Source organism: Homo sapiens, chromosome 12 (genome assembly GCF_000001405.40).
Source record: "Homo sapiens chromosome 12, GRCh38.p14 Primary Assembly".
Lineage (NCBI taxonomy): Eukaryota > Metazoa > Chordata > Mammalia > Primates > Hominidae > Homo > Homo sapiens.
This window is the reverse complement of record NC_000012.12, coordinates 77,951,568-77,978,596: the sequence shown is the minus strand read 5'-3', so window position 1 is coordinate 77,978,596 and position 27,029 is coordinate 77,951,568. Positions and strand designations below refer to the sequence as shown.

Genomic DNA, 27,029 nt, shown 5'->3' with positions numbered 1-27,029 from the left:
TAATAAGTTTTGAAAATTTTTGAAAATTTTTAATAAATGTTAACTTTTTGATGTTAGTCTTTAGTAGAAAAGATTAATAAATAATTTCATATAGTATAAAATGGCAAATGAAATAATTACATATATAATCAGTGCTCTATTTGAGAAGAAAGTGGCTCATACATGTCAAATACGTAGTACCTGTGGTTAGAATCAAATTTCTAGTGTTTGATAGAAAATATCTAACTAGGCCGTCAAAATGTCCTGTTATAAAATTTTAAATAAATTAATCACAAATTAGTTATCATGAGTCACAGCTGTATTATAATAACACTTCACATCTTAAAAAATATTTCATAGGACAAATAATGGCTCACCATTGTTGTTATCTACATATTTATGGCAAAAAGTGTGTCTTAAGTTCTTAAATTAAGAGTTAATCTCATACTTTCAAATGTATTTATATTCTCACAGTTCTTTTGGAAAGATAAAAGACAATTATGACGTTTTTATTTTATACCTAGAAAATCAAGTTTAACTGATTCTGACTTAGTTAAGAAAAGTAAAACTAAGAATTTTTTTTTTACAAACAAAACTAAACCAAAACCAACGATCTGAACATAAAAAGCATTTTAAACTATAATAACTGGATAATCCCGTAAAAAAGGCATTTTTTACGTAACTGGCATACAGTGATCCTTTGTTTACTTGGACTGATCTCCCCAAACTATCATAAAATGAGCTCTGGCCCTAATTCAAATTATCTACTATTTTATGCATCAATTCAAACAAGTATCAACTTTTACCAGACTTTCAGATTTTCAGATAGGCCTTAACTAGGGAAGAATCAGAGTATATTACTTGATTCTGAAGAGAGTGTGTGTGTGTGTGTGTGTGTGTGTGTGCGCGTGTGTGTGTGTGTGTGTGTATATATATATCTCCTATCTAAACACTCTTATTGATTTTCAACTTTTGGAATCAACCTATACTAAAAGCATGGAAGAATCAGCTACCTGTACAAAATAGATTAATCATATGAACATTGGTAACAAAAAAATAAAAGTGCCGATAACAGAGATTGGAAATTGTTAGTGGATGGAGGAGAACCAAACCGTAGTTTTAATATCCAGGTTTTACAAAATCGAATACCAAAAGATACTCTACAGGTGATTGAAAAAGAAATAAAGATGTTATTCCATTATATAAAGGTACAAAGTTAACCAATAAAAGAACTAAAGATAGTGGAGTGTAACTATGTTAGTAACACTCCTAGAAAGACCTGCCTATATTTGCTATCTCTTTTTTTAATTGACACATACAAATTGTACATCTCTCTCTGTAATTCCTCCCTCTCATTCTCTTTTGTACAGATTCCAATCAAGTTATCATAGCAACTACTTCACTGAAAGAGCTCTCATCAAAGTCTCCAGTGCAAAAGCGGTAAGTCAGTTATCAGTCCTCATCCTACTTACATGCAACATTTCATGTAGTTGACATTCTGTAAATAATGGATAGAAACACAAACTCTGTACTAGATTGCCTTGATCCAATATACAGCCTAGTCTCTGTGAAACTGTGCAATTTAATTGATCTTTCCATTTTCTGTTTCCTTATGTCAAAATTAATATTGAGAATACAGTACAGGCCGGGTGTGGTGGCTCACGCCTGTAATCCCAGAACTTTGGGAGGCCGAGGCAGGCAGATCATGAGGTCAAGATCGAGACCATCCTTGCCAACATGGTGAAACCCTGTCTCTACTAAAAATACAAAAATTAGCCAGATGTGGTGGCGTGTGCCTGTAGTCCCAGCTACTCGGGAGGCTGAGGCAGGAGAATCACTTGAACCCGGGAGGGGAAGGTTGCAGTGAGCCAAGCTGAGATCACGCCTCTGCACTCCAGCCTGGTGACAGAGTAAGACTCCGTCTCAAAAAAAAAAAAAAAAAAGAAAAAAAGAAAGAAAGAAAGAAAGAAAGAATACAGTATACACATCATAGGATTGCCGTGAGGATTGAGACAGTAAATGTATGTATAAACTATTTAGAATGGTTCAGAAAGGGCTCCATATAAGTTATGACTATTGATCTGTCTCTCCATTGAACGCTTTCTGCACCTGCTTTCCAGGACATCAAGTTCTACTTTTCTTCCTACGTTACAGGCTAACTCTTTTTGGTCTCCTCTATCAGGTCTTGCCATCTCCTTGATCTCTAAATATTGGTAAGCTCCTGATCCAAGGCCTCAGTTCTCTTCTTCAACTATGTACAGATTTTGGTGACTTAATCATGTCTAGCCTTATAGCTTTTTATTGTTGCTATCTGCTTATTTTTCCATGATTTTTATCTATAGGCTCCATCTGTCCCTTAAACCCCAGTTTTGCAATTCCAATGGCCTCCTCAGTATTTTGGATATATCTCATATATATTTCAAAGCTCACATGGCAATAAGTGAATATCTGACCTTCTCCCTACCAAACCTTTCCTCATATTTTTTTCTTCATTTCAGCAAATGGAAACGCCATCTTTCCAACAGCTAATACTATATCGATAACGTACAGTCTCACCTTTATAGCCTCCTTATCCATGCTAGAGTTTCCTTTCTGTTTACCAATTTCATTACAAGTCTATCAGTTTCTTCTGACACTACCTTCAAAACACATTTGGCATTTAACTTCCTCTCTGCACTTTCAACATGATAGCCCAAGCTTTTTCCATGACTTCTTGCTACCACCTTTTCCCTACTACACTCTATTTTCAACACAGCAGCCAATATGACCACTTCATTTATGTGCCTGTTTATGTTCCTCATGGCACATAGTATCTTCCCCTCTCTCCAGGAATAAAAGTCAAAGTCTTTACAATGGCAACAGGGCCATACTTATTCTTATGTTTCTTTGAATTATATCTACTCTTCTTCTGCCTCTTTCCCTCTGATCCAGCGCAACTGGGATAGATGTTTTCTCTTCTTGAAGAGAAGCAGACAGGCTCTTAATTCAAGGTCTAAGAGCATTTCTTCTCTCAGCCTGAAACACTGCCCTGAGATATTCACCGACAACATTCTGTCATTTTCTTTGTTTAGTCTCATCATCTGAATGAGGACTTTCCTCGGTCCTCATTAAATTTAAATTAGCAAAAAATTGTTCCCACACATCTGATTTGCCTTTTTCTGATTTATTTTTCTCCGTCATCAGCTGTCAAATTACTGGTAAATATTTTAATTAAGTTTGTGTTATCTCCAATTACTAGAATGAAAGCTTCAAGAAAGCAAAGATTTTTTAATCTCTTTTGTCTTCTGCATATCTCCAGTGACTAGAAGATTGTCTAGAACATACTACGTGCTTAATAAAAGTTTGTAGAATCAATTAATGAGGGTGGAGAGAAATAGAGATGTGTGAATCCAATGAAAATGGTCAAATTGATGAATAGAAACTAGTGGTAGGAGCATTCTATTTAGCTATATGGAAGTAACTAATTAAAAAAATCTAAACTAATTAAAGGGGTTATTCTGCTTATTTAGACTGGGCATACAAAGGACTGAGCATTATTAAGCTATTTTATTGGAAATATTATTACTTTAAATTATTTTCATATATTTAATTAAACAGTGGAATGGGCAGACTTGATTAGAGAAAGAGAGAAAAGGGAGAACAGTAATGAGGTTGACTTAAGGTTTTTAATGTGGGTCAACGTATTTTATTACACATGTGATATGATCTTCAAGTGAAAGAAGGGAAGATGGAAATAGCTGGTTTGAGTGTCTATTATATGCTGTGTTATGCTAAGTAAGCATTTTATACATAAACCATTTCATCTGGTCTCTTCAAAACCCTTATGAGAAAGTTGACACCATTCCAATATTAGAGGAAGAACACTGGAATTTGAGCAGGTTAAAATCACTTGACCATGCCACTGCGCTGGGAATTGGCAAGCAGGACTCCAACCCATACTTGCTTGACTCTGAAATAACCAATATAGCAAGATGTTTAATCTTTACCCACATAAAATACATCCAAGAATACTGACATAGCATCTGGGAATGATGGCTCAGGCCTATAATCCCAGCACTTTGGGAGGCTGAGGCGGGCAGATCATCTGAGGCTAGGAGCTTGAGACCACCATGGCCAACATGGTGAAACCATGTCTCCACAAAAATTACAAAAAAAAAAAATAATAATAAACAGCTGGCCGTGGTGGTGGGCACCTGTAATCCCAGCTACTAGGGAGGCTGAGGCAGGAGAATGGCTTGAACTCGGGAGGCAGAGTTTGCAGTGAGCTGATACTGAGCCACTGCACTCCAGCCTGGGTGACAGAGCAAGATTCTATCTCAAAACAAAACAAAACAAAACAACAAAAATACTGATATAGATAAAATCTTATTTTATATTACATATATTTAAATTTTTAAAAATTGATTACTGGGTTAATCAAGTCTTTATCACTCCAAATATAGCCAAATATTTTCTTGTAATGAATTTAAGAAACTTAAAATCTGAGTCCCACCTTTACTATAATATAATCTTCATCTATAACAACCGAAACACCAGTGTTAGAACGTAACAAAAGTGTGTGCACGTGCACACACAAACTTTCTCTTAATATTACATACTCTTGGTTTCCAAATGCAGTCAGTTAAGAATAACTTCTTTCTCTTCAATTATTTCTCTCTAGAGATAAAAAAATCCTGCTTTAAGTAATGATTTTATAAATATCCCTCTTCTTTTCTGTTTTTGTTTTATTTAAAGTTTAATCGATTAACTGACTTTTTTTTTAAAGGGCACACTATGGCCACAACACAGAACTGAGTTAGGCAACTAATTGAAGCCAGGTTCACAAGGGCTTAAATTACTAAAGCCTACCTGTCATCTTAAATTAAACTTCCTTATATACTTCTCAAGATTTATAACCTTTGGCCAAAAAGCTGTAAACTGTCCCAGTTTCAGAGTGAATCTCCCAGAAGGAAATAATGTTTCCTGGAAAAGATACCCTGGAAGGCAAATGTCCTCTATGGTAAGAGGGTTCCAAAAGCAATGTGTGTGGTAGGGGTCACGGGAACCTTGGAAAGGGGCTGCAAGGGAACAGCCAAGCCGTTCAGAAAACGTGTACCCGGGGATTTCACAGTTTAACTTGTGAATCCTGTAGGAGCACGTTCATCTTTGAAAGTGGACACATTCTTGATTTGCTCCCATAAAATCAAAAGCAAAAGGGCATATGATCATCTGCAGAGATCATAAACTTTCAAGTTCCCAATATATTTTTTTTTAATTCAGAAAGATTTATCACCACTGGTTTTGCCACCTCTATCATCTATCTATGTAATCTCTTACCTCTACTTTCACATTCAATTTTCTTCTTTTTACATGTTTTAATTGTATACTACATAAACTATTCATGTGATTTAATAACCACTATCTGTGAGTTGGTAAAATTCATCAACTATTTGATAACAGGAAGGAAAATCATTTAATAATCTGTTCAAAAATTAAGATAAAAGTATGTATTTTAAGAAAAATCACGTCTTTTAAAAAAGCTTTTAGCAAATAAAAAAATGTATCTTTTACATGTACTATCATCCTAACACCTTGTATATAACCAGGTCAGTACATAAGAAAAATTAAGTTTCATTTTATTTTTTTTTTACTGTAATGTTTTTCCAGGTATTCTTAGGAAAATCATGCATTCATTTACTGAGTGTTGTTGTCTGGTATGTGCTAGGTACTGCTTAGGGTTGAAATAGAATTTTCTTTTAGCTTTCCTGCCAACTAGAACTCTAATTGTCAAAATGCAACATATGAAAAAGTAAGGTTCACAGAAATAGCCTAGGATGAAAATGAATTTTATGAATTTTAAAATTGTAGGATTTATTTTTACATTGTTTCTTAGAATAAGAAATAGGATTTCCTTCATCTCCCAATGAATACCTGTGGAAAATAACTATGATACCAACATTTATATACGATTTTTTTTAGCATTTTATATTAAAACACTTCTCATATTTCCCCTTTTGGCTGGAGAGGAGAATTTTTATCTACCTTTTTCAAAATAAAAAGAAAATTAAGAAATACTGAATGAACTAGTTTTATTTCATATATTAAATAAATGCAAATAAGATGCTTAATATTTCGGAATATAGCAAGATATTGAATCTTTACCCACATAAAGTCCATCAAAAAAATACTGACATAGATAAAATCTAATTTTCATATCAAATATATTTAAATTTTAAAGAATTGATTACTTGGTTAATCAAGTCTTTATCACTCCAAATAAGCCAAATAATACCCTGTAATGAATTTAAGAAACTTAAAATCTGAATCCCACCTTTACTTTAATACAGATCCAGGTCCTGGCAGTCTGATTCCTGAGGTAAACTCTTAATAATTAGAACTCTAGGTGCCACTTGAGCAGGACACACATGCATGCACACTTGTGCACACACACACACTCAAGCTCACATATAGCACATGACCCATGCACCTATAGATACATACACTCAAAGGTGGAGAGGGAGCTGAGAGAGCAGGAGAGCAGAATTTCTTACTCTATTCTTTCCTCTTGGTCCATGTTTTATTTTTTCTCCTGTATATTTCACTTGTTAACCTTTAAATCCAAATTTCTGTTTAAATGAAAGCTATTCAACTTGAGGAAAAACATCTGGAGTTTTTTTCAAAATAGCAAAATCAAATTAAAAATTATTAATGTATAAAATAAATGTTGTGGAAATATGTAGAATTATGCCAATTTACTTTAAACAAAGAGAATAAAACAGAAACACTTTCACTGAACTGAAACAATGTGCCCTAAGAAATGTTTATTAGTCTACAGAGAAAAATATAAGAACATTTTCTGGCCAAATACCCAGAGAAGTATAGCAAGTTGAGATTTAAACTATTTACTTGGAAAGAACTTTGAAATCAATAGAAAGGCATCATAAATCATGATTTATGACTCACACCTCCAGCAAATGAAGATAAATTTGTCACTAGGAATTTTTCTGCATTAATTATCTTGGTTCTAACCCATAGATACTACATTATGTTCCTATGTATATTATCATTGTGGCCTTTTGAAAAATGCTTTAAAATATTGATTGCTACAGGTAAGTCCACATAAATTCTAATTTACATATTAATGTGATACACTAAATCTATATAAATAAAAATAAGTATTAATGTCTTAAATATCATATCCTTTAAACCATGTAAAAATTCTCTAAAAGTAAGACTAATGGAAGTAAGACTTGAACTCTTCTATATTCGGGTCCTGAATACTACTTTTATTAAAGCTGTTACTCTATAAACATTTATTAAATTATATATCAATTCAAAAAGTAATTAAATCCAATTTAGCAGAGAAAATTTTGCTAAAAGTCTACCACAGCCTTAAAGGCTTTAAAGGACACTGTTGAAAAGAATACTTTTCATAAACTTGTAATGAAAAATCGAGACATCCTTCCACAAAAGAGTATAAAAACCATGAGTATTATACATGGCTTTATATTTTAAACTACCCCATAGTTTCACAACAGCCATGTATATCCAGCAAGAAGAATAGGAAAATAAACAATTTCCTAAAAGGGTCATAACTACCAAGAAATTCTGGGCAAGAAATTCTAGACAATAAATTTCACATGGAAGATACAGAAAAAGAGTGAGGTAAAGCAATGTCAAATGATATTCCGTATCACTTCCAGAGTCAACATGCTTTACGTAAAATAATTTTATTTCCTTTATTTTTTCAGCTACTATTCTTGTGTCTTCTTTATTTAAATTGCTTAAACCAAACTCTAGTAAATATTATTTCTGGCACTTTTCAGAATCCATCTCTTTGTTGCAAACATCCACACAAAAAATAATAACACATAAAACACGATGTCATCCACTTTGTTCTTCTATATGCTTACAAACATCCAAGAAACTTAGCCTATAGAGATTTATTTTCCACTATGAGTCTTATACAATCTCACTTGATATAACCAAAAGCCAAGATGAGCTTAAAGAACAGTCAAATATCTGCATTATTTTATAATAAAAAATATCCCCCATCACTTCATAAGCTTTATATTTTATGCTATGTTTTTAGTAAAACTATAGCTTTTTAAAATTTATTTAAAAATTCACTGATGAGTGAAAATCTTCCAAAGGGAACCAAATTTACATGGTTGTATAGAGAAATAAATATTGTTTATTATGGAGTAACAAACAAAATCCATATGAGGGTTGGTTGGTAGATGAAAGAGAAGTGATTTCTGAACAGTTGAACAACTGACAGTAAGTGGGAGGTGGTCCATAAATGTACTTTGGAACATTATTTTAATTGTTTGAGTCATTTCTAATTACCAAACTCAAGGTTAACTGAATGTTAGTAGGTTTCAAGCTTGACTTCTAAGGTGGACAAAGTTAAATATTTACATTTGTTGACAAGTGTTTATATTTTCAAAGACGATGAAAGGGATTTTCATATCCTCTCTCCTCAAGAAAAATAATCATAACTATTTATGTAATAGAGCTAACTAACCAATACCCCAGTCATTGTTCAGGAACAAATATAGTAGCTTGTATGAAAGTTGTTAAGTGAAACTTCATTCTGTGATCATTTATTTTGATATGTAAACTATGTTAGACTATAGTCTAAATTATTCCTTCAAATACTAGTCTAGTTGTTGCTATGTAGATATTTTAAGGATGTAATAAAAGTCTATAATCAATTGACTTTCAGTAAAGTTTACTTTAGATAATCTGGGTGATCTTGATTCAACTAGTTGAAAGAAAGTTCTTTTGTTTGTTTGTTTGTTTACTTTAGACAGAGTCTCGCTCTGTCACCCAGGCTGGATCTTGGCTCACCGCAACCTCTGCCTCCCTGGTTCAAGCAATTCTCTGCCTCAGCCTCCAGAGTAGCTGGGATTACACGCACCTGTCACCACACCTGGCTGCTTTTTGTATTTTTCATAGAGATGGGGTTTCACCATCTTGGCCAGGCTGGTCTTGAACTCCTGACCTTGTGATACATCCACCTCGGCCTCCCAAAGTGCTGGGAATACAGGCTTGAGCCATCGTGCCTGGCCGAAAGTTTGGCTTTTCAAAAGCAGAACTGAGGCTTCCTTCAGAGGAGAAATTCTACCTGCGTACTGCAATTTCAACTCATGATGAGATTTCTAGCCTGCCCTTCCAGCTGGGCTGCCCTTCAGATTTCATACTTGCCTAACCAGTATGCTCAATCATGCTAAACCAATTCTTCACAATAAATCTCTTGTTATATATCATTTACTTGCTTGACTCCTCTAGTTGAACACTGATTGATATAATTCTATATTGGAAAAAAATAATAATAATGGAAGAGAAAAGGAAGTTGCCATGATTTGGGAGCACTCCACCAGGCTGTGTCTACATATGCCAAAAGACTCAAGCCAGACAAATAATACATGTATGTGCATACACACATACACACACACACTCATGCACACACACACACACACACACACACACATCAAAAACACTATGTTCCCAAACTTCAAACTCCTATGTTTAACAGACCTGAAATTTCTGACAGACTTAATTAATCAAAAATATCAATGAAAGATAACTACATGACAGGAGACTAGGACTCAATAGCACATTCTAAATACTAAAGTCATTTGTAGAAGAAAGTAGTCATGCCACATTACTTACACCAAAGACATTTCACACTGTGATACAGAACAACAATCTTTAGAAAACAAACAAAATACGTCACCCAAAAGATGATAGATGTTGCTTGTCCAAGCAAAACAAGAGTGGTTTTAGTTTCTATTACACAAGTCAAATAATCCCATCACACTGATACAAGCACATGAGTACGTTTTTCAAACTCATGGACAATAATTTGTTAAAAACAAGTTGTATCTACACAAACTAATTGGAAACACATTCCCTACTTCCTTTCCTTACCTGGACTGCATATCTTGCTGGGTTTTGGCCTGGCTGGCTTCCGATGGAGGGGAAGCGTGAGTAACTCGCTGCTGAAGTTCCACCAAGGACTGATAGTACTGTTGTTGATGGTGTTGTTGCTGCTTGTAGCGAGATAAACTGAAAAACAGCCCTAGAATGGCTTTTAAGTTTCCATTTCTTATTTCTGTATGAAATGAAAAATACAAAAAAAGAATCATATGTATTTAATGTCCTTTTTAACAAATTCTAGATGCATTTCTCTTGAAATAAATCTATGAAGACAGAGATACAACTTAATTCTCTCAGTCACAGTTGAATCACAAACAAACCTGAATTTCTGAAACATGTTAACATTTCCAAATAACTTGGAATTTCAGGGAGAGAATAAAAGGATAGAGGGTAAAAAGAACAAAGCACACTCAGAAGTGATATTCTTTGCTGACCTTGAACTACAATTTTTCTCGAGTTAGCTGCTTCTTAGAAATAAATGAGCTCTCTCTTGTGCTAACCATTTGATTTAGCATGTTGATTCCCTCACAAATATACACAGCTGTTGCCAGCATAGCAGTGGCTACGAACTGGAGAAAGAAAGCCACTTAAATGTTGGTTGTCCTGCATTTATAAATATTGATGATGTGGGTGCACCTCCTAATACCAACTGGATTTGTTGCAATCAACTTTCTTTCTAAATCACCCACTCACCAACTCATTTATACATATTTATGTATGTATATATCCTCCAAATATATATCCATATATATCAAAATGTATGTGTAGGTATATCTTCCAAAAGCAGACATATCAATTTTTAATGTTCCAATTCTTTTATTTTTAATTTATGCTATATATTAATAAATAAGGAGGATTAGCTTACGTCAGATAACATAATTGAATAAGCAGAAATCCTTGTTCTAACAGATGAAGTTGCTGTGTAAGATTTTCAAATATTGAATAAAAAAATTCAATTCACAATGTAGGGTACACATAAGCCTACATTTTTCTCCTGTAGTTATAACTTAAAAAAATAGGAAAAGAGAAGGATGTAAAGCTTGAAAATAAGCTACACAACCTGTAATCATATTTTAAATAAAACTTGATGTTGGCAATAAAATGCATCCTCCTCTGAGATTAAGGTTTTATGTCCCCTTTTGGAGTTTAGGAAAATTAACCAACTCTTTGGATTTCTTGCTCTCTGATGGTTTATCATATAACTCAAACTATGCAGTAAAATAATTAATATAAAATGACCCTCTGAGTTGTTCTATTTTTCCCCCAAACATTTCTCATAGTTTTCGTCATATTGAAGAGTTGGCTTCATCAATCTGAGGCTACAGTGAGAGAGTGTTAATTTTCTCCTATAAACCTGAAAGATTTTGTTTAAAGAGTCTTTAAAAAATTATTGTTTTATTATTTTGCATGTTTAACTAATTTAGAGAGTAAATTTTGAGCATTCATGTATATTTTAAAGATGAATGAAAATCAATAGGCTGATATTAATAAAGGTTTTCATAAGGAAGAGACATAAAAAGTGAATAAATGGCAGCATTTCTAGCCTGTAACTACTTAGCAACATATTATCCTGGGGAATTTTACTCAAATGTTATTCGAAGTTACAGAACTACCAGTTAGGTTTGAACCTAAGCTTCTTGGTCATTAAATGTGTAATTTAATTATATATCATAACAAGCAAATATAAAAGAAATTTAAATATCAGTGTTCTCAAGTATGGCAAATTTTATCTTAAGTGTAGCAAGCTTTTGCAAACTTTTGCCACCTTTATAAGTGAAAGTAAAATAAACTCAGAAAAAAGATCAATGTCAAAATTTGTTCAAGTTTTCCCCATTTTGCTCTCTTTCAATTTTAGTGATGATCTTTTGAATCTTTAATGATTTAAAACATTTATATATAACAGTGATTAACGCTGTTAGTTCTAATTATTTAAGACTTCATAGTGACTTAAACTTACCAACTATTTTGACTATTTCTACCAACTTGAATATATTATAGAAATGTTATTGATAAAATAATATTTTAAGCCTTAATTAAAATATTTTACCTGTATTTATGTCCATCCAACATTTATCTAATTATCTATTCATCTACTTAAGAAATCTAATTATACTATAAACTAGTAATAACATAAAGATATTTTTTTGATTCACTCCTCTCCCATATAGTTGGTTAAGAAAAGAACAGTTCTGGCAAAATATGGAAAACATTTAAATACTTAGAGCACATATTAATAACCATTATGTTTATGTTTCGGTTGTCTTGAAGACTTCACCAATTTCCTTTATCATATTAAGGAGACGTATACTCCAATGTTACATTTCTTACATTATAAAAAATAATTTAAAAACATTGATGCCATTTGTGACAATTCAGTCATTCTTTTTCTTACCTTCAGCAGATAGACCTTGAACATTTACCCCTCTGGCTGCTAGAAAACTAAGGCAGACATCAACATTTTCAATCTGCAACATGAAAAGCAGTGAAAAAGCAACTTAGAGGATTATATTTTAACAAATACATGTGCCAAAATGAAACCAGAAAGAACGATAAAGAATGAATAGTTTACATTCATTTCATACTAGAAGTCTTAACCAGAGTTTAACTAGAATTATTTTGGCTAATTGCAGAATGAATATAAAGCTTTCATTGTACAGCTGGTACTTACAAACAATTCATAAAGGCCTGATAAAGAATGGCATTCTTGCAGATTAGCAACCCACCTACTTAACATAAAACTGGATCTTGTATTTTGCAAATAAGTCCCCGTGAAAGCATCCATACAGACTGAGATTGTTGCATGTGTGAGTCTTAGAATGTTAGGATGTGGGTAATTTAGATTCAACCAGCAGTGTTTGTCAAGTACGTCAAAAGATAGATAGATGGAGACAGGTTTGAAACAACATGAAAATGAAGCATATTTTCATCCTAAACATAGCAAATACTTATTTTAAAAATTATATTTGTATTTCTAGAGGTGAATAATCTGCTGATTAAATACAGGTATTTTGTTTGATATTTTAAAAGGGTGATTCCCAAGGCACTTTTTGTTTGTTTGTTTGTGTTTTTGATTTTGAGACAGAATGTTGCTCCGTCACACAGGCTGGAGTGCAGTGGCACGATCTTGGCTCACTGCAACCTCCCTCTCTCGGGTTCAAGCGATTCTCCGGCCTCACTCTCCCAAGTAGCTGGGACTACAGGCGCACGCCACCACGCCCCGCTAATTTTTTATATTTTTATAGAGAGGGGTTTTGCCATGTTGGCCAGACTGGTCTCGAACCACTGACCTCAAGTGATCCACCCGCCTTGGCCTCCCAAAGTTTTAGGATTACAGGCGTGAGCCACCATGCCAGGCCCCATGGATTTTAAATGATTGGTTTCAATATGATTACCAGTTTATATTCATTTAGGGTGAAAAGCAAAAAAATAAAAAAATAAAAATTTGATCATGACATTATATAGCAGTGACACAGCTAAGATTCGTAAGAGCATAGAAAGCTAAAAAGTTCCAATTCTTTGTGATCCATCTCCCTGGATTTGGGGGTATTCTATAAATCTTTAGATTCTACAATAAAGAAGAGATTTAAAATTAATAACTTGGCAAGGTCCTATTGTCTGTCTTACTAAATTCTCATCGAAAGCTATGCATGAGGACACACAGAGTTCTGCCAATGTCCTCCCTAGCTTAGCTTCATAGCAAGGTCAAAATGTCTCTTAAAGAAAATGAAAAGAAAAAAATAGATTCAAGAATCTATCCTTATAAAATAGAGAAACTATTTATGTTCCTTTAAAATAGTAATTTTATACAAAAATTGATAATATACAATGATATGCTGTTTGCTTAAAAATGACCACAGCCAAGATATACTCATTTATTTTGAGGAAAAAAAAATTTATATTAATTAACTTCAAAGTAAGTTTTACTGAAATTATTCTAATGAATAAATAATAGAGTTGAAGATGCTGAATACAACATAACATAATAAATCTTATTGTTCTGCAGATCACCATCTGAATATCCAATGAGGCGACAGTGCTGAAATATATATTAATTCTTTCCTTTCTTCATATTTCATTCTGCCGCTAGCTATAAGATTATATAAGGAAGGAAAAGAGGAGGAACAATAACAAGAAATGAGGTAAATTTGATGTTCTCTATCCATCCACAGTATTCTTGTAAATGTATTTCTTTAAGATCCATTAAAAATTAGTAAAAGAAAGATGCCAAATAATTATTGTGGCCTAATATTAAGAAAGATAATGTGATGGAATATTTTTAAATGTTTGCAAGAGCAGTCCTAAAGTTCTTGATTTCAATGCAATTATATGCCTTTTATAGAAAGAAGGAAGATTTCTGACCCAAATGTGATTTGCTACAAAATGTTAATAGGATATTATTACCTAAAGTTTAGTTACTCATATTATACATGAACAGATTAGCTCACTGAAAATCCAGAAAAGGCTCATTGAGTCTGTAACTAAGTTTGTAAGATAAATTTTTGCCTACCATTTAACCAGCATATAAAATAAACTGATTTCTAAATTGAGTGTTAGACACAACTCTCTCTCTCAACTTGCACCACAATCAGAAGGGGAATGCAAAAGAGAAGAAGAAGAAAAGGAGAAGGATAAGGAAAGAAAGAAGAAGGAGAAGGAGAAAAAGGAGGAGGAGGGAAGAGGAGGGAGGAGGAGGGAGGAGGGAGGAGGAGGGAGGAGGAAGGGGAGGGTGAAGGAGGAGGAAGGAGGAGGAGGAGCAGAAGGAGGAGAAGAAGGAAGGAGAAGGAGAAGGAAGGAGAAGGAGAAGGAAGGAGAAGGAAGGAAGGAGGGAGGGAGGGAGGGAGGGAAGGAAGGAAGGAAGGAAGGGGAAGGAGAACAACAACAACAAATGATCGATAATACATTCTTTTTTATTTTCAAATGTATTTATCAGGAGCATTCAACCATTTTTACTATTCTTTTATAGTCATTCATTATGAGGACCAGCAATTTAAGATAGTTAGTTATGTTCCCCATTATTGCCTGAGTAGCTAAGTTAGCGACAGAATAAGTACTTGAATACAGTTTCCAATATGACTATTAAAGGCTAGTTCATTAAAGTGCATTTATTTATTCAACATTTATTGTTAAAATTAACAGTTTACCAAAATTTATTTTCTCACAATGTATCAGCATAATAAACATGACTTTCAAGAAAATAATACCTTTTCCCCACTTAATTCTAGTCCTTCTGTAAATTCAATAACATTTGTTAGTATATACTAGGCTATACATTTTACAGTAAAAAGAAGTGGTTTTAAGATATCTTGTTAAATGCCATTTATATGGTCACTTTCTCACCAGAGGCATACTTTAAGATAATTTGAGTGGATTTTTTAATGATAAAATGATATTCTCTGGTTAAGAATTTTATTTCAAGAAATTGTAAAGATTTTATCATTCCTGTTTTTAATATGGATTTCCCTTAAACATCTCTCAGTTATTATAAATAGACCTAGTACAAACACTGTTTTAATTGCTTTTTTCCATATTTAATGTCAATTTTTTTAACTAAAAACCTCTAAAACTTTTTGGTAACTTACAAACAGATAAAAGTTATTTTACCATCAAATTGAGCCAAATAATTGTAATCTGTTTTATTTTCCTTCATTATTATTTGAATCGGATATCAAACAAACTAACAAAATTCAAATCATATTTTAACACCAAAAATTTGGGTGAAATTTTAATTAGAATAACTTCATGTACCTTAATATTTTCTAAAATATTGACTGTGACCCACAGCAAGAAATAAATTGAATAGCACAACCCAATATGCACATACATAATTATAATGGAGTCAAAGTTTCACGGAATAATACTTTACCTTACTAAATTCAGGTTACTGTGATGCTTCCTAGTGCACTGTACTGTCTTCTGTTTAATCTATTTAGATGTTGCTTAAAATCTACTAGATGGATTTCAGGGTCCATTAATGGATGGTAATCCACAATATGTAAAACACTGCCCTAAGAAGACCAGAGCATTGCCATGCCTACATTGCCTCTTTTCTGGTGGGGTTCGTGGCAGGTGGTATGCAGTACGGGGCATATTCAAGGGTAGCAACAAGGTTAGTGAAGAGACAGTGAAGGTGATGAGAAATGGTCAGATTCCAGATGTTTTCTGAGAGAAATTGATGGGAAGATATGGCATTTGAGAGAAAGAGAAGAGTCAAGAATAACTCCAAGGTTTTGGGCTTTAATCACAAGAAGGATGAAGTCTGTATCCAATGAGATGGAAAAGATCATGAATGGAAGTCGGAAGTTTCTTTTTCGACATGTTGGCTGGTCCATCAAACATTCAAAAGTAGATGGTTCGTAGGCAGTAGGACACACAATCTGGAGTTCAATTGAGAGGTTGGGGTGGAGATCTAAATTCAAATTTTTTGGTAATGTGAATGAAGTCTTGAGGGTGGATTATCAACAAAAGTGTGTAGACATAAAAGAAGAGGAACAAACATTGAGCCTTAGGAGATTATCCTTGGGAAGAAGAGGAGGAACCAACAGAGAAGAGTGAACAAAGCCACCGGGAAGTATGAGGAAAATCAGGAGAGGATGGGGTACAGAAAACCACCTGAAGAAAGTATTTTAAGCACAAGGGAAAGATGAGCTCTATCAAAAGCTGCTAACAAGTCATGTACGACAAGAGCTAAGAGTTGACTATTAGATTTAGAATTAAATAAATAAATTCATGAAAGGTGCTCATAATAGTGCTTATCAAATAGCAAATGCTCAAATATCTAAATTAAATATTAAAGTATATATCATAACATTATACACACATGAACTAAATATTAAAGTATATGTTACATATTACATGTGTGTGTTTGTATGTGTGTAATGTATACATAGAGGACCAGCCAGAATGTAACCTTCATGATGGTTTTTATTTTGTCTACACTCTCTCCCCAGTCTACTTTAATCATATATTACATATATGTAACATACATTACTTATATTATATAACATATATTACATATATTACATGTATGTAATATATATAATGTAATAATATATTGCATAATATATATTACATATATAGTAATATATATTCAAATATATATATTACAGATACATAATATATAATATTTACTTTAATAATATATATTACATATACAGTTATATATTATTAAAGTATATATTATATATTTAATATATTACATATATGTCTCATACATGTAATAGATACATATGTATATATACATATATTACATGTATGAGACATATGTATATACATAATATAGTAAACATTTATACTAAATATATAATGTATTTATATTAATATATTTATTATATTACATATATGTATATGTGTAATATTTATTATATTACATATATGTATATGTGTAATATATACATATGTGTATATTGCATATGTCATACAGATATGTAATATATGACATATACTTTAATACTTTAATATATTATTACATATATAGTAATACCTGTTATTAAAATATATATTATATATTGCAAATATGTCTTATGCATGTAATATAGACATATGTATATAGTAATATATTATTAAAGTATATATTTATTATATTACATATATGCGTATACATGTAACATATACATATATACATATATGCGTATACATGCAACATATACATATATACATATATGCGTATACATGTAACATATACATATATACATATATGCGTATACATGTAACATATACATATATACATATATTACATGCATAAGACATAGGCATGTATACACATAATATATTAAACACATGTATATTGAATATATGATATGTTCATATTAAATATCAATATATTATTATATGTGTGTAATATATACATATGTGTATATTACACATACCATACATGTATGCATTTTTATTACATATATGTATTGTATATTTATATACTGCATATGTATATATCATATATATGCATATATTATATACATGATACATATGTGTATGATATATAATATATAGCATATACTTTAATTATATATTACTATATATGTAATATAATCGTATATGTAATGCTAATATGTATAAACATTGTTAAAGTATATATAATAGTATATTACATACATTACATATATGTTATATATTATAGGTAATATATGCTATGTGTTATTAAAGTCTATATCATATGTGTTACATATATTACAGTATACATCATGATATATACTTTAATGTGTTATATATATATGTGTTTATGTATATGTGTGTGTGTGTGTGTGTGTATATATATATATATGACTGGCCAGAATGTATACTCCCTATTGATTCTTTTTAATTTTGGCTACTGCTCTCTCCCCAGTCTAAATGTATGACTTAGGTGATCTATAAACAATTGCTGAGGAAACAAATGAACTACAGCAAGAATAAAATAGTGTTTTCATGCTTGAAGCAGTCAAATAAAAAAGAGAAATAATTAAACCCTAATTGGAAATAATATTAGTAGTCAAATTAATTATGTCTCCTGAACATTGACCCTGATGAGCTGACTTACTTCTATGGCATCCTAAGCCTCTCCTCTGATATACATGAACTCATGTCTGCTGGTGGGAGCTGATGTCTCTCTTCTCACATTTACCCTCCTACCCCCAGGACCTCACACCATGGCCAGGCACAATCAATGCTTAATGCATTACTGTTGACTATCTGAATGAATTAATAAATTTAGACATAGCATCAGTTATAATCTGTAATAGCATTTGGCCTGCTATATGTCCAAAACTTAGTTTTTGGTCTTTTTTTTTTTTTTTTTTTTTTTTTTTTGTCGGGTCAGGGAGGAATATACTACTCTGGAGTAGAAAAGATGTTGATGAGAATAGAAAACCAAAACACGATCACAACAGGCAAATGAGTGAGAAATGGAAGTGCCAAGGGGTTAGTCAAGTTTTGAGCTTTTAATTAACATTTAGAAAAATCAATAGTCCATAAAAATTGAAATGATGTGTGGGGAAAATTTGTTACCATTATATTTTGGGATTAATAGAAATAAATGATTTCAAAAAAATTCCATGATGGTGGGGCCCATAATAATCATTTTAGCTGATTTTTTCAATTTAAGAAAAATTAAAAGCAGATAATATGTATAATTACTTAGAAGAGTCAGTTAAATTTTACATGTAAAACACTTAGCACAATACAATGTACATAGTAGGGATTCAATAACTCACAACAACAAAAAATACCTTTTGTTATTATAACAGTTTTTAATATTAATGGAGGGTAACAATGCTATAATGGTATAAATGATGCCATTTCACATCATAGCCCCTTTCACTTTTGGTATTACACAGAGTTTCCTGAGAATTATCTGTATCCCAGTAAACTCAGTTCCCAAATTTTTAATCTAGTATTTCTTAAACTCTACTACACTTAAGAATTAACCGAGGATCTTTTAAACCCATAGAGCCCAATTTACATTTACGAACTCAAAAGTTTAATCAGAATGTCAGCAGATAGAAGCCAGTTTCATTATACATTACAAATCTGCAGGTGATTCCAATTTGTAGCAAAACTTGTAAATTACAACTTCCAACTATGTTCTTCAAAGAAACTAACTGCAGATAATTTCAGTTTAATACCATGTCGTTGCTGGAATTGCACTGTTCACACTAGAGTAATACATTATATTTTTCTTATTTGGACCATAATACTATATAATTCATGTGTTATTCCTGTGATATTAAAACACGTATTCCTTTATAGCAGTAATACAAAGAAATTCATTATGATTTCAACGGACACCACATTTCTCATTTGGCTCAGGTAACAGTCAAATCTGTAGCTTATGGACAGTCACCTCAGGACATTTACTTGCTATTATTATGTCAGGCACAATTTAATGTCAAGCACAATTTCTTGGGCCCTTCTTTTCTACTTGTGGTTTATCTTTTATTGGCATGGAACACCTACTTTCTCTCTCTTTTTCATGTTAAATTTAAGCATGGCTTGATAACTATAAAAATGTTGGCTGTGTAATGAAAATAAAATGAAAAGTTTCTGAGAGCTAGATCTAGTCATTATTTTCAGAAGTATCCAAATGCATGGATACATTGAGCCTTGAGGTTTTGGGATTTCATCAAAATACTTAATCTTATCATAATGCCCTAAAGAAAAACAGTTTTGTTAGAGTAATTCTTCAAATGGACTGTTATTTTCTTTATTATAGAAACTAAACAAATGTAATAGAAATTGGTCCATATTTTTAGAATTGAGTAGTTTCTACCTATATACTTAATATTAGCATCCTGTAACACTACCATTGTTTCATGTTCTATCAAACACACTATTTATTTATTCACTCATCACACATTTATTAAACTTATTTTATGCCTGAAAATGTGCTCTGTGCTACAGAGATCAATTTCGAGACACAGCCACTATTTTCATATATTCTAAAGAGCACTGAATTATTTCAACTACTCACATGAAAAATGGAACAGAAATTTTTCAAGGCAGAATTTTTCTGATTGTCTATTTTCATAGCTGTATATTTATACTGACCCTTACATACTTGCTAAATATAAACATGTCTGATTGCTAAATTACAAATTGGGTTTCAGATGAGAAGAGGAAGAATTTTCATCACCTTCACATATGAAAACTCAAGACACTTACCAGTGTATTTTTAACTACAATTATTTTGTTAAACCTGAGAGTTAACACGTGTTCTTGACATATCAACCATAGAGTGTGTATTAGAAACACTGATATTGGCAGGGCACGTGGCTCACGCCTGTAATCCCAGCACTTAGGGAGGCCAAGGCGGGCAGACAACCTGAGGTAAGGAGTTCGAAACCAGCCTGGCCAACATGGCAAAGTCTGTCTCTACTAAAAATACAAAAATTAGCCAGACATGGTGGCAGGCTTCTGTAATCCCAGCTACTCCAGGGAGGCTAAGGCACGAGAATCACTTGAACCTGCGAGGCAAAGGTTGCAGCGAGCCGAGATCACCCCACTACACTCCAGCCAGGGGGACAGAGCAAGACTCTGTCTCAAAAAAAAAAATACTGATAGTTATTCATTTCAGTGATGAATAAACTATTCTAAAAATGTAGTGCTTTTAATTAGCATAGCTCTTTATTGAACTCATACATTTTAAGCTGTGTGTTTTATTACAGCCAGCCTTTTAGCATTTTTTACTGCAAATATAACATGTTTCAGGACATGTAATTGGAAGAATCTATCACAATATCAACAAAGTAATATCTTGTCTATTCACATTTTTTTACACTTATGGATAGTTAATGAACATTACAGTTTGGTACTAAATACCAAGATATGATTAATAACCTCCTTATAGTTTGTGATTAAATCTAAACCATGGCACAACACTTAACACTAAGTGATTAATTCATTCAGCAACTATAGACTGTTTATTATGGTCAAAGAGCTCTGCTCAATGGTGAAGGGATATAAAAATGAATGATAAGATCTTTGCCTTTGTGAGCTTGTAAAATAGCTGAGGAGACAGAAAAGATTTATAAATTGTCATAATGCAAGGCATAACATGATAAATTCCAAAGAGAATTATAAACAACTCTGTAGAGCAGCGAGGAGAATGGAGTTATTAATTTCCACTACAGATACAGAGAAAGCTTCATAAAAGTGTCATTTAGACTTAAAAGCTAAGTTGGGCCTGGGTGTGGTGGCTCACGCCTGTAATCCCAGCACCTTGGGAGGCTGAGGTGGGCAGATCACCTGAGGTCAGGAGTCTGAGACCAGCCTGGCCAACATGGTGAAACCCTGTCTCTACTAAAAATACAAAAATCAGCTGGGTGTGGTCGCATGTGCCTGTAATCCCAGCTACTCTGGAGGCTGAGGCAGGAGATTCGGCTTGAACCCGGGAGGAGGAGGTTGCAGTGAGCCGAGATCACACAACTGCCCTCCAGCCTGGGTGACAGAGTGAGACTCTGTCTCAAATAAATAAATAAATAAATAAATAAATAAATAAGTTGGATTTTATATAAGGTTAGACAAGCATCAGAAGGAGGAACAGGGCATACCAACCAGAGCAACTATAAGGAAAACTGTTCACAAGGATGCTTGAGAAGTGATCGCTCCAGTCCTTACCTTCTGCAGTTATGCTTATAGAGCTGACTTTGACCTTGGATTTAAAACACTGTGTTGCCCATTGGACTCAAACCCTGCTACAATGTAAAAAGTTAAATAATCATAAACCAGATAGCAGGTATAATACCTCAAAGATTTATTTCTCTCTCCATAAGAAATGCATCCAAGTTAGAAAATGGCTAAAGTGCTAGATATTGCTGTTGCCAATCATACATAGAGAATGTCTAGAAAAACGTAAACCAATCCTAACTTTGGATATTTCGGGAAGGTAGATTCTTTTGTGACTTGTGCTATTTTTCATGAACTATACTTCTCATTTTTCACATTAAACATGTAATACTAGCGCCATTACATAAATTAAATTAATAAATTTTCAATTAAAAAATAGATAAGATGTTTTAGTTTCAGCAAATGCCAATCCTAACACTGAATTCAAGTAATTACATAGAATTTATCCTAAGATTTTAACTAGACATAAATTTTTTCTGGAGAGTTAAAGTAAAATACAGTAATATTTTTGCTTTGGTTAAAATTTGTAGGATGCTTGTTTTCCTTCATTCATTTAACAATTATTGGTTCATCAAGACATTTCCAAGCCCTAAAAAGTATATAGTTTTACAGGCAAGGGAGGTAATTCCAATTTAATGCAATAAATATTATGACACAGAAACACAGACTCCTAGAAAAGAATGCAGAAGGGTCTATTTCTTTTTTCTTTCTTTTCTTTTCTTTTTTCGAGACAGGGTTTTACTCCCATTGCCCAGGCTGGCATGCAGTAGCACAATCTTGGCTCATTACAACCTCCACCTCCTGGGCTCAAACGATCCTCCTGCCTCAGCCTCCTGGGTAACTAGGACTACAGGTGTGCACCACCATGCTAGGTTAATTTTTGTATTTTTAGTAGAGATGTGGTTTCACCATATTGGCCAGGCTGGTCTTGGACTCCTGACCTCAAGTGATCTACCATGCTTGGCCTCTCAAAGTGCTGGGATTATAGGTGTGAGCCACTGCAGCTGTCCAGAAGGGTCTATTTCTGATCAGAGGCCAAAAAGACTAGGAAAGGAGAAAGTTATTAGTAACTAAGACCTACCTAACATAGTAACAAAGATATGTTATTTCGAAGTTGTCATTACTATACCAATTTATTATAAAAGTGTTGATCACAGAACTGAATTGCTATGCCCAAGGTCACTCAGAGCCCATGTTCCTAACCCCCACATTTTGCTGCTTTAAGGGAAGCCTGAGTTAGTCCCTGAGAGGTTAGGAAGGTTTTGCTGAAGGAGGGGATGTGGTACGAGGTGAACGCGGGAAGGAGCTATATGTGAACTGGGCATGGTTGAGAAACAGCGTAGGTTGAGGGATCTTTAAGAGATCAGAATAGCCAGGAATGTTGAATTGACTCTCATTTAAATCTTTCTCCACAACTTCCCATTGTTTATCACTGTGAAACTGCTCAAAAGGTTAGTAGCCTTCAAATCAGTTTGAAGAACATGGGTAGAAGGCATCAGGCAGAAGGAGCTCCAGAGCACAAATCCTGAAATCTGGAGAAAGGCAGTGGCAGGAGACAAGGCCACAGAAATAAGTAAGGGCTCAATGAGGAACATCCTCCATGCCTTGTTAAGGGTCAAGCTTGATCTTAAAGATCAGAGATCTAAACGTGTGCTTTAATCAAAAAAGGGAAATGATCAGTATTGCAATGAATACATCCATTTAAATGACCACACAGTACATACATAGATTTATTAACAGATAGTAATAAAAATTTCACAAATCAATTTTTACTCATATCTGAAATACACTCCAATTTTTTAAAAAATCCTATTTTAGTATATTTCATTTTTAAATTCAGTTGTAATACACTAACTCATAAGATACTATGTGAGCAATTTGCAGTTTTAAAAATCCTACTGTGCATGTAAAGAATGGAAGCAGGGAAAATGATTTGGAGCTTCTCTATGTTCTCCTCCACCACTCAACAACCAAGCACAGGAAGGAAGTTTACACAGAGTCATAAGCAAGTATGCTATTTACTCCATATACAAAACTCTTTTCATCTTCACTGTAAGTTTTAGTAAAGTCAGTATTATTTTTCTTATTCAGTAGAGGCTCAGAGAGATAGCATAGTTTATATAAGCTTACACAATTAATGAGGAGCAGAGCCAGAACTAAAACTTAAACCTGTCTTTCTGCAATGAGCTTGCTCTTCTGCCTCATTATGCTTACTACCACTATAATTTAAACATTCTCACTAAGCTATTCGCAGCCTCTGACTCAGGCTTACTACACAACTGGCAGATGGCTAGGAAATAGTGCCAGGTACAAACAAAGTAGGGGCTCAATAAATATATGGTTGAATGTAAGAATGAAAACTGTGTAGTGTAAAGGTAAAGACAGAAATGGGTATGCAAAAATCCACTTGTTCCACACATTTCATAAGTTCACAAGTTTAACTACTTGTATATTACTTCTCAAATATCCAATGCATTTTACATGGTGGTAGATTAACATACAGAATGGTTGATGTGGCCTCAAGCAAAAGAAAGAATGCTGGCATCCACCATAAGCTAGAAAAGGAAAGGAATGGATATCCCTACAGCCTCTGGAAGACGTACAGTACTGCTGACACCTTGATTCCAGCCCAATGATAGAGATTTCTGCCCTCCAGTACTGTGAGAAGTTAAATTTCTATTGTTTTAAGCCACCAAATTTGTGGTAATTTGTTACAGAAGCCACAGGAAACTAATACAAGGATCTACTCAGTAAAGTAGTAGAAATCAAAACTTTGGCAAGCCCAAAGCTGAGCAGGGATCATTGTGAGCATGCGTAATTCCAGGCCTTTTCCTCGAACTGTGATTTGTTGAGTCTTAGTGCTGGGGGCAGAGAGGATGAGAGGTGCAGTTTAATTAGTTACTCCTGTGTCATTGCAAAGGAACGCCTTGCGGGCTTTCCTTTCCCATCTCAAATGTGTTTGTGTTGCAAAATAGGGAGAGGAATAGGGGACAGTAATTGGGTTTTGCTCTTCGGTTTTTGTTTATTTGTTTAGTTGGTCTGTGATTAGATACAAGGAGTACGTTTATTAATTAGGTCCTATGGTGTAATTAAAAATTTTGCAGTTAAACTGGATTTGCATCATGGTATTACAATTTACACAATGTAAGAAACTGAGAAGTTTCTAGGCATGTGTGGGTGTGTGTGTATGTATACACACACATATATCCACACTAGAAATGGAGAAGGGTATATTCAATTATTTATATGTAAACATACTCTTCCTAATATGGAGCTAAGCTCTATAAACACATGTATGCTAGAACAGAGTTGTGTGTGTCTGTGACTAGCTGTATAGACATAGATATGGAAAGTTCCCGAGGATATAATCAGATAAAATATTTTGTTCAAAACCCTGCTATTCTTCTTTAATTTACTTGATAATTGGAGAATTATGAGCATCGTTTAATATTTTGTATCAGTTATAGATGATATTAAATCTTCATTATAAGCTATAATTGGCAAAAGTGTTATAAATATAATTTATTAAAAATTACATCAGTATTCATTGACCTGAAGATATATTCTTTTGTTTTTTAATAAATTTCTGCTTTTAAGTTTGTTCCAGAAAACAAAACCAAACAAGGGAATTTATTGTTTTATTATAAAGTTATTAAACTCTTCTAAACCTAAAAACATGTATGTATATAAAGAGCTCAAGTTACATATAACAACTTATTATTTGCCAAATTCATAATTTTACCATAAAATTTATAAATCATTATTTGTTTCACAAGACCACTCCCTCTCCCAGTTTCACGAGAGTTTATATCCCTGCCACAGATAGAAGAAACAAGTGTAATATTGAAGAATAATTCTTATTTATATTGCAAGTTTGGGCATAGGGAAGGGAGAAGCAGAGGAGCCAAATAATTTTTTTTAGAAAGAGCAATCTCAATCAAAATCCAGGAAGTTATTTTGTGGATATCAACAAACTAATTTTAAACTTTATATGAAGAGTCAAAAGACCTAAATTGCCAACAGAATATTGAAGAAGTACAAAATTGGAGGACTGACACAACACAGCTTTATGACCTACATGAAGTAAGTCATGTAATCAAAACAGTAATCAAGACAGTGTGGGGTTGGTGAAAAAATGGGAAAATAATCAGTGGAACAGAATAGAGAGCCCAGAAGTAGACCCATACTAATATAGTCAATTGATATCTGTTGAAGAAGCAAAGGCAATACAATGAAGCAAAGATCAACTTTTCAACAAATAGTGCGAGACGAGCTGGACATCTACATGCAACAAATATATAAATAAAAATAGACACAACACTAAAGACATGATGTATAAAATAAATAATTGATAAGCTGGACTTCATAAAAATTAAAAACTTCTGCCCTGTAAAGCAGTGTCAAAAGAGTGAGAAGACAAACCACAGACTAGCAGAAATATTTACAGAAGACACAATCATCATCCGAAGTTTACAAAGAACTCTTAAAACTCAACAAGAAAACAAACAACCTGTTTTTTTTTTTTTTTTAATTATACTTTAAGATCTAGGGTACCTGTGCACAACGTGCAGGTTTGTTACATATGTATACATGTGCCATGTTGGTGTGCTGCACCCATTAACTCATCATTTACATGAGGTGTATCTCCTGATGCTATCCCTCCCCTCTCCCCCTGCCCCACGACAGACCCTGGTGTGTGATGTTCTCCTTCCTGTGTCCAAGTGTTCTCATGTTCAATTCCCACCTGTGAGTGAGAATATGCAGAATTTGGTTTTTTGTCCTTGAGATAGTTTGCTGAGAATGATGGTTTCCAGCTTCATCCATGTCCCTACAAAGGACATGAACTCACCCTTTTTTATGGCTGCATAGTATTCCATGGTGTATATGTGCCACATTTTCTTAATCCAGTCTATCATTGATGGACATTTGGGTTGGTTCCAAGTCTTTGCTATTGTGAATAGTGCCGCAATGAACATACGTGTGCATGTGTCTTTATAGCAGCATGATTTATAATCCTTTGGGTATATACC

General features: G+C 33.3%; 1 protein-coding gene across 27 annotated transcripts in view; it reads right to left on the bottom strand.

The window, feature by feature from the left end:
• Nucleotides 1–27,029, bottom strand: part of NAV3 (neuron navigator 3) — a 641,149-nt gene that overhangs the window by 234,414 nt on the left and 379,706 nt on the right. For all 27 annotated transcript variants that reach the window (XM_017020166.3, XM_047429817.1, XM_047429823.1 and 24 more), the window contains exons 4-5: nt 12,296–12,368; nt 9,895–10,078 (exon numbers count right to left, since the gene is read on the bottom strand). In XM_017020166.3, the coding sequence (XP_016875655.1) occupies nt 9,895–10,078; nt 12,296–12,368 (257 nt within the window). The remainder of the gene's footprint in view (nt 1–9,894; nt 10,079–12,295; nt 12,369–27,029) is intronic.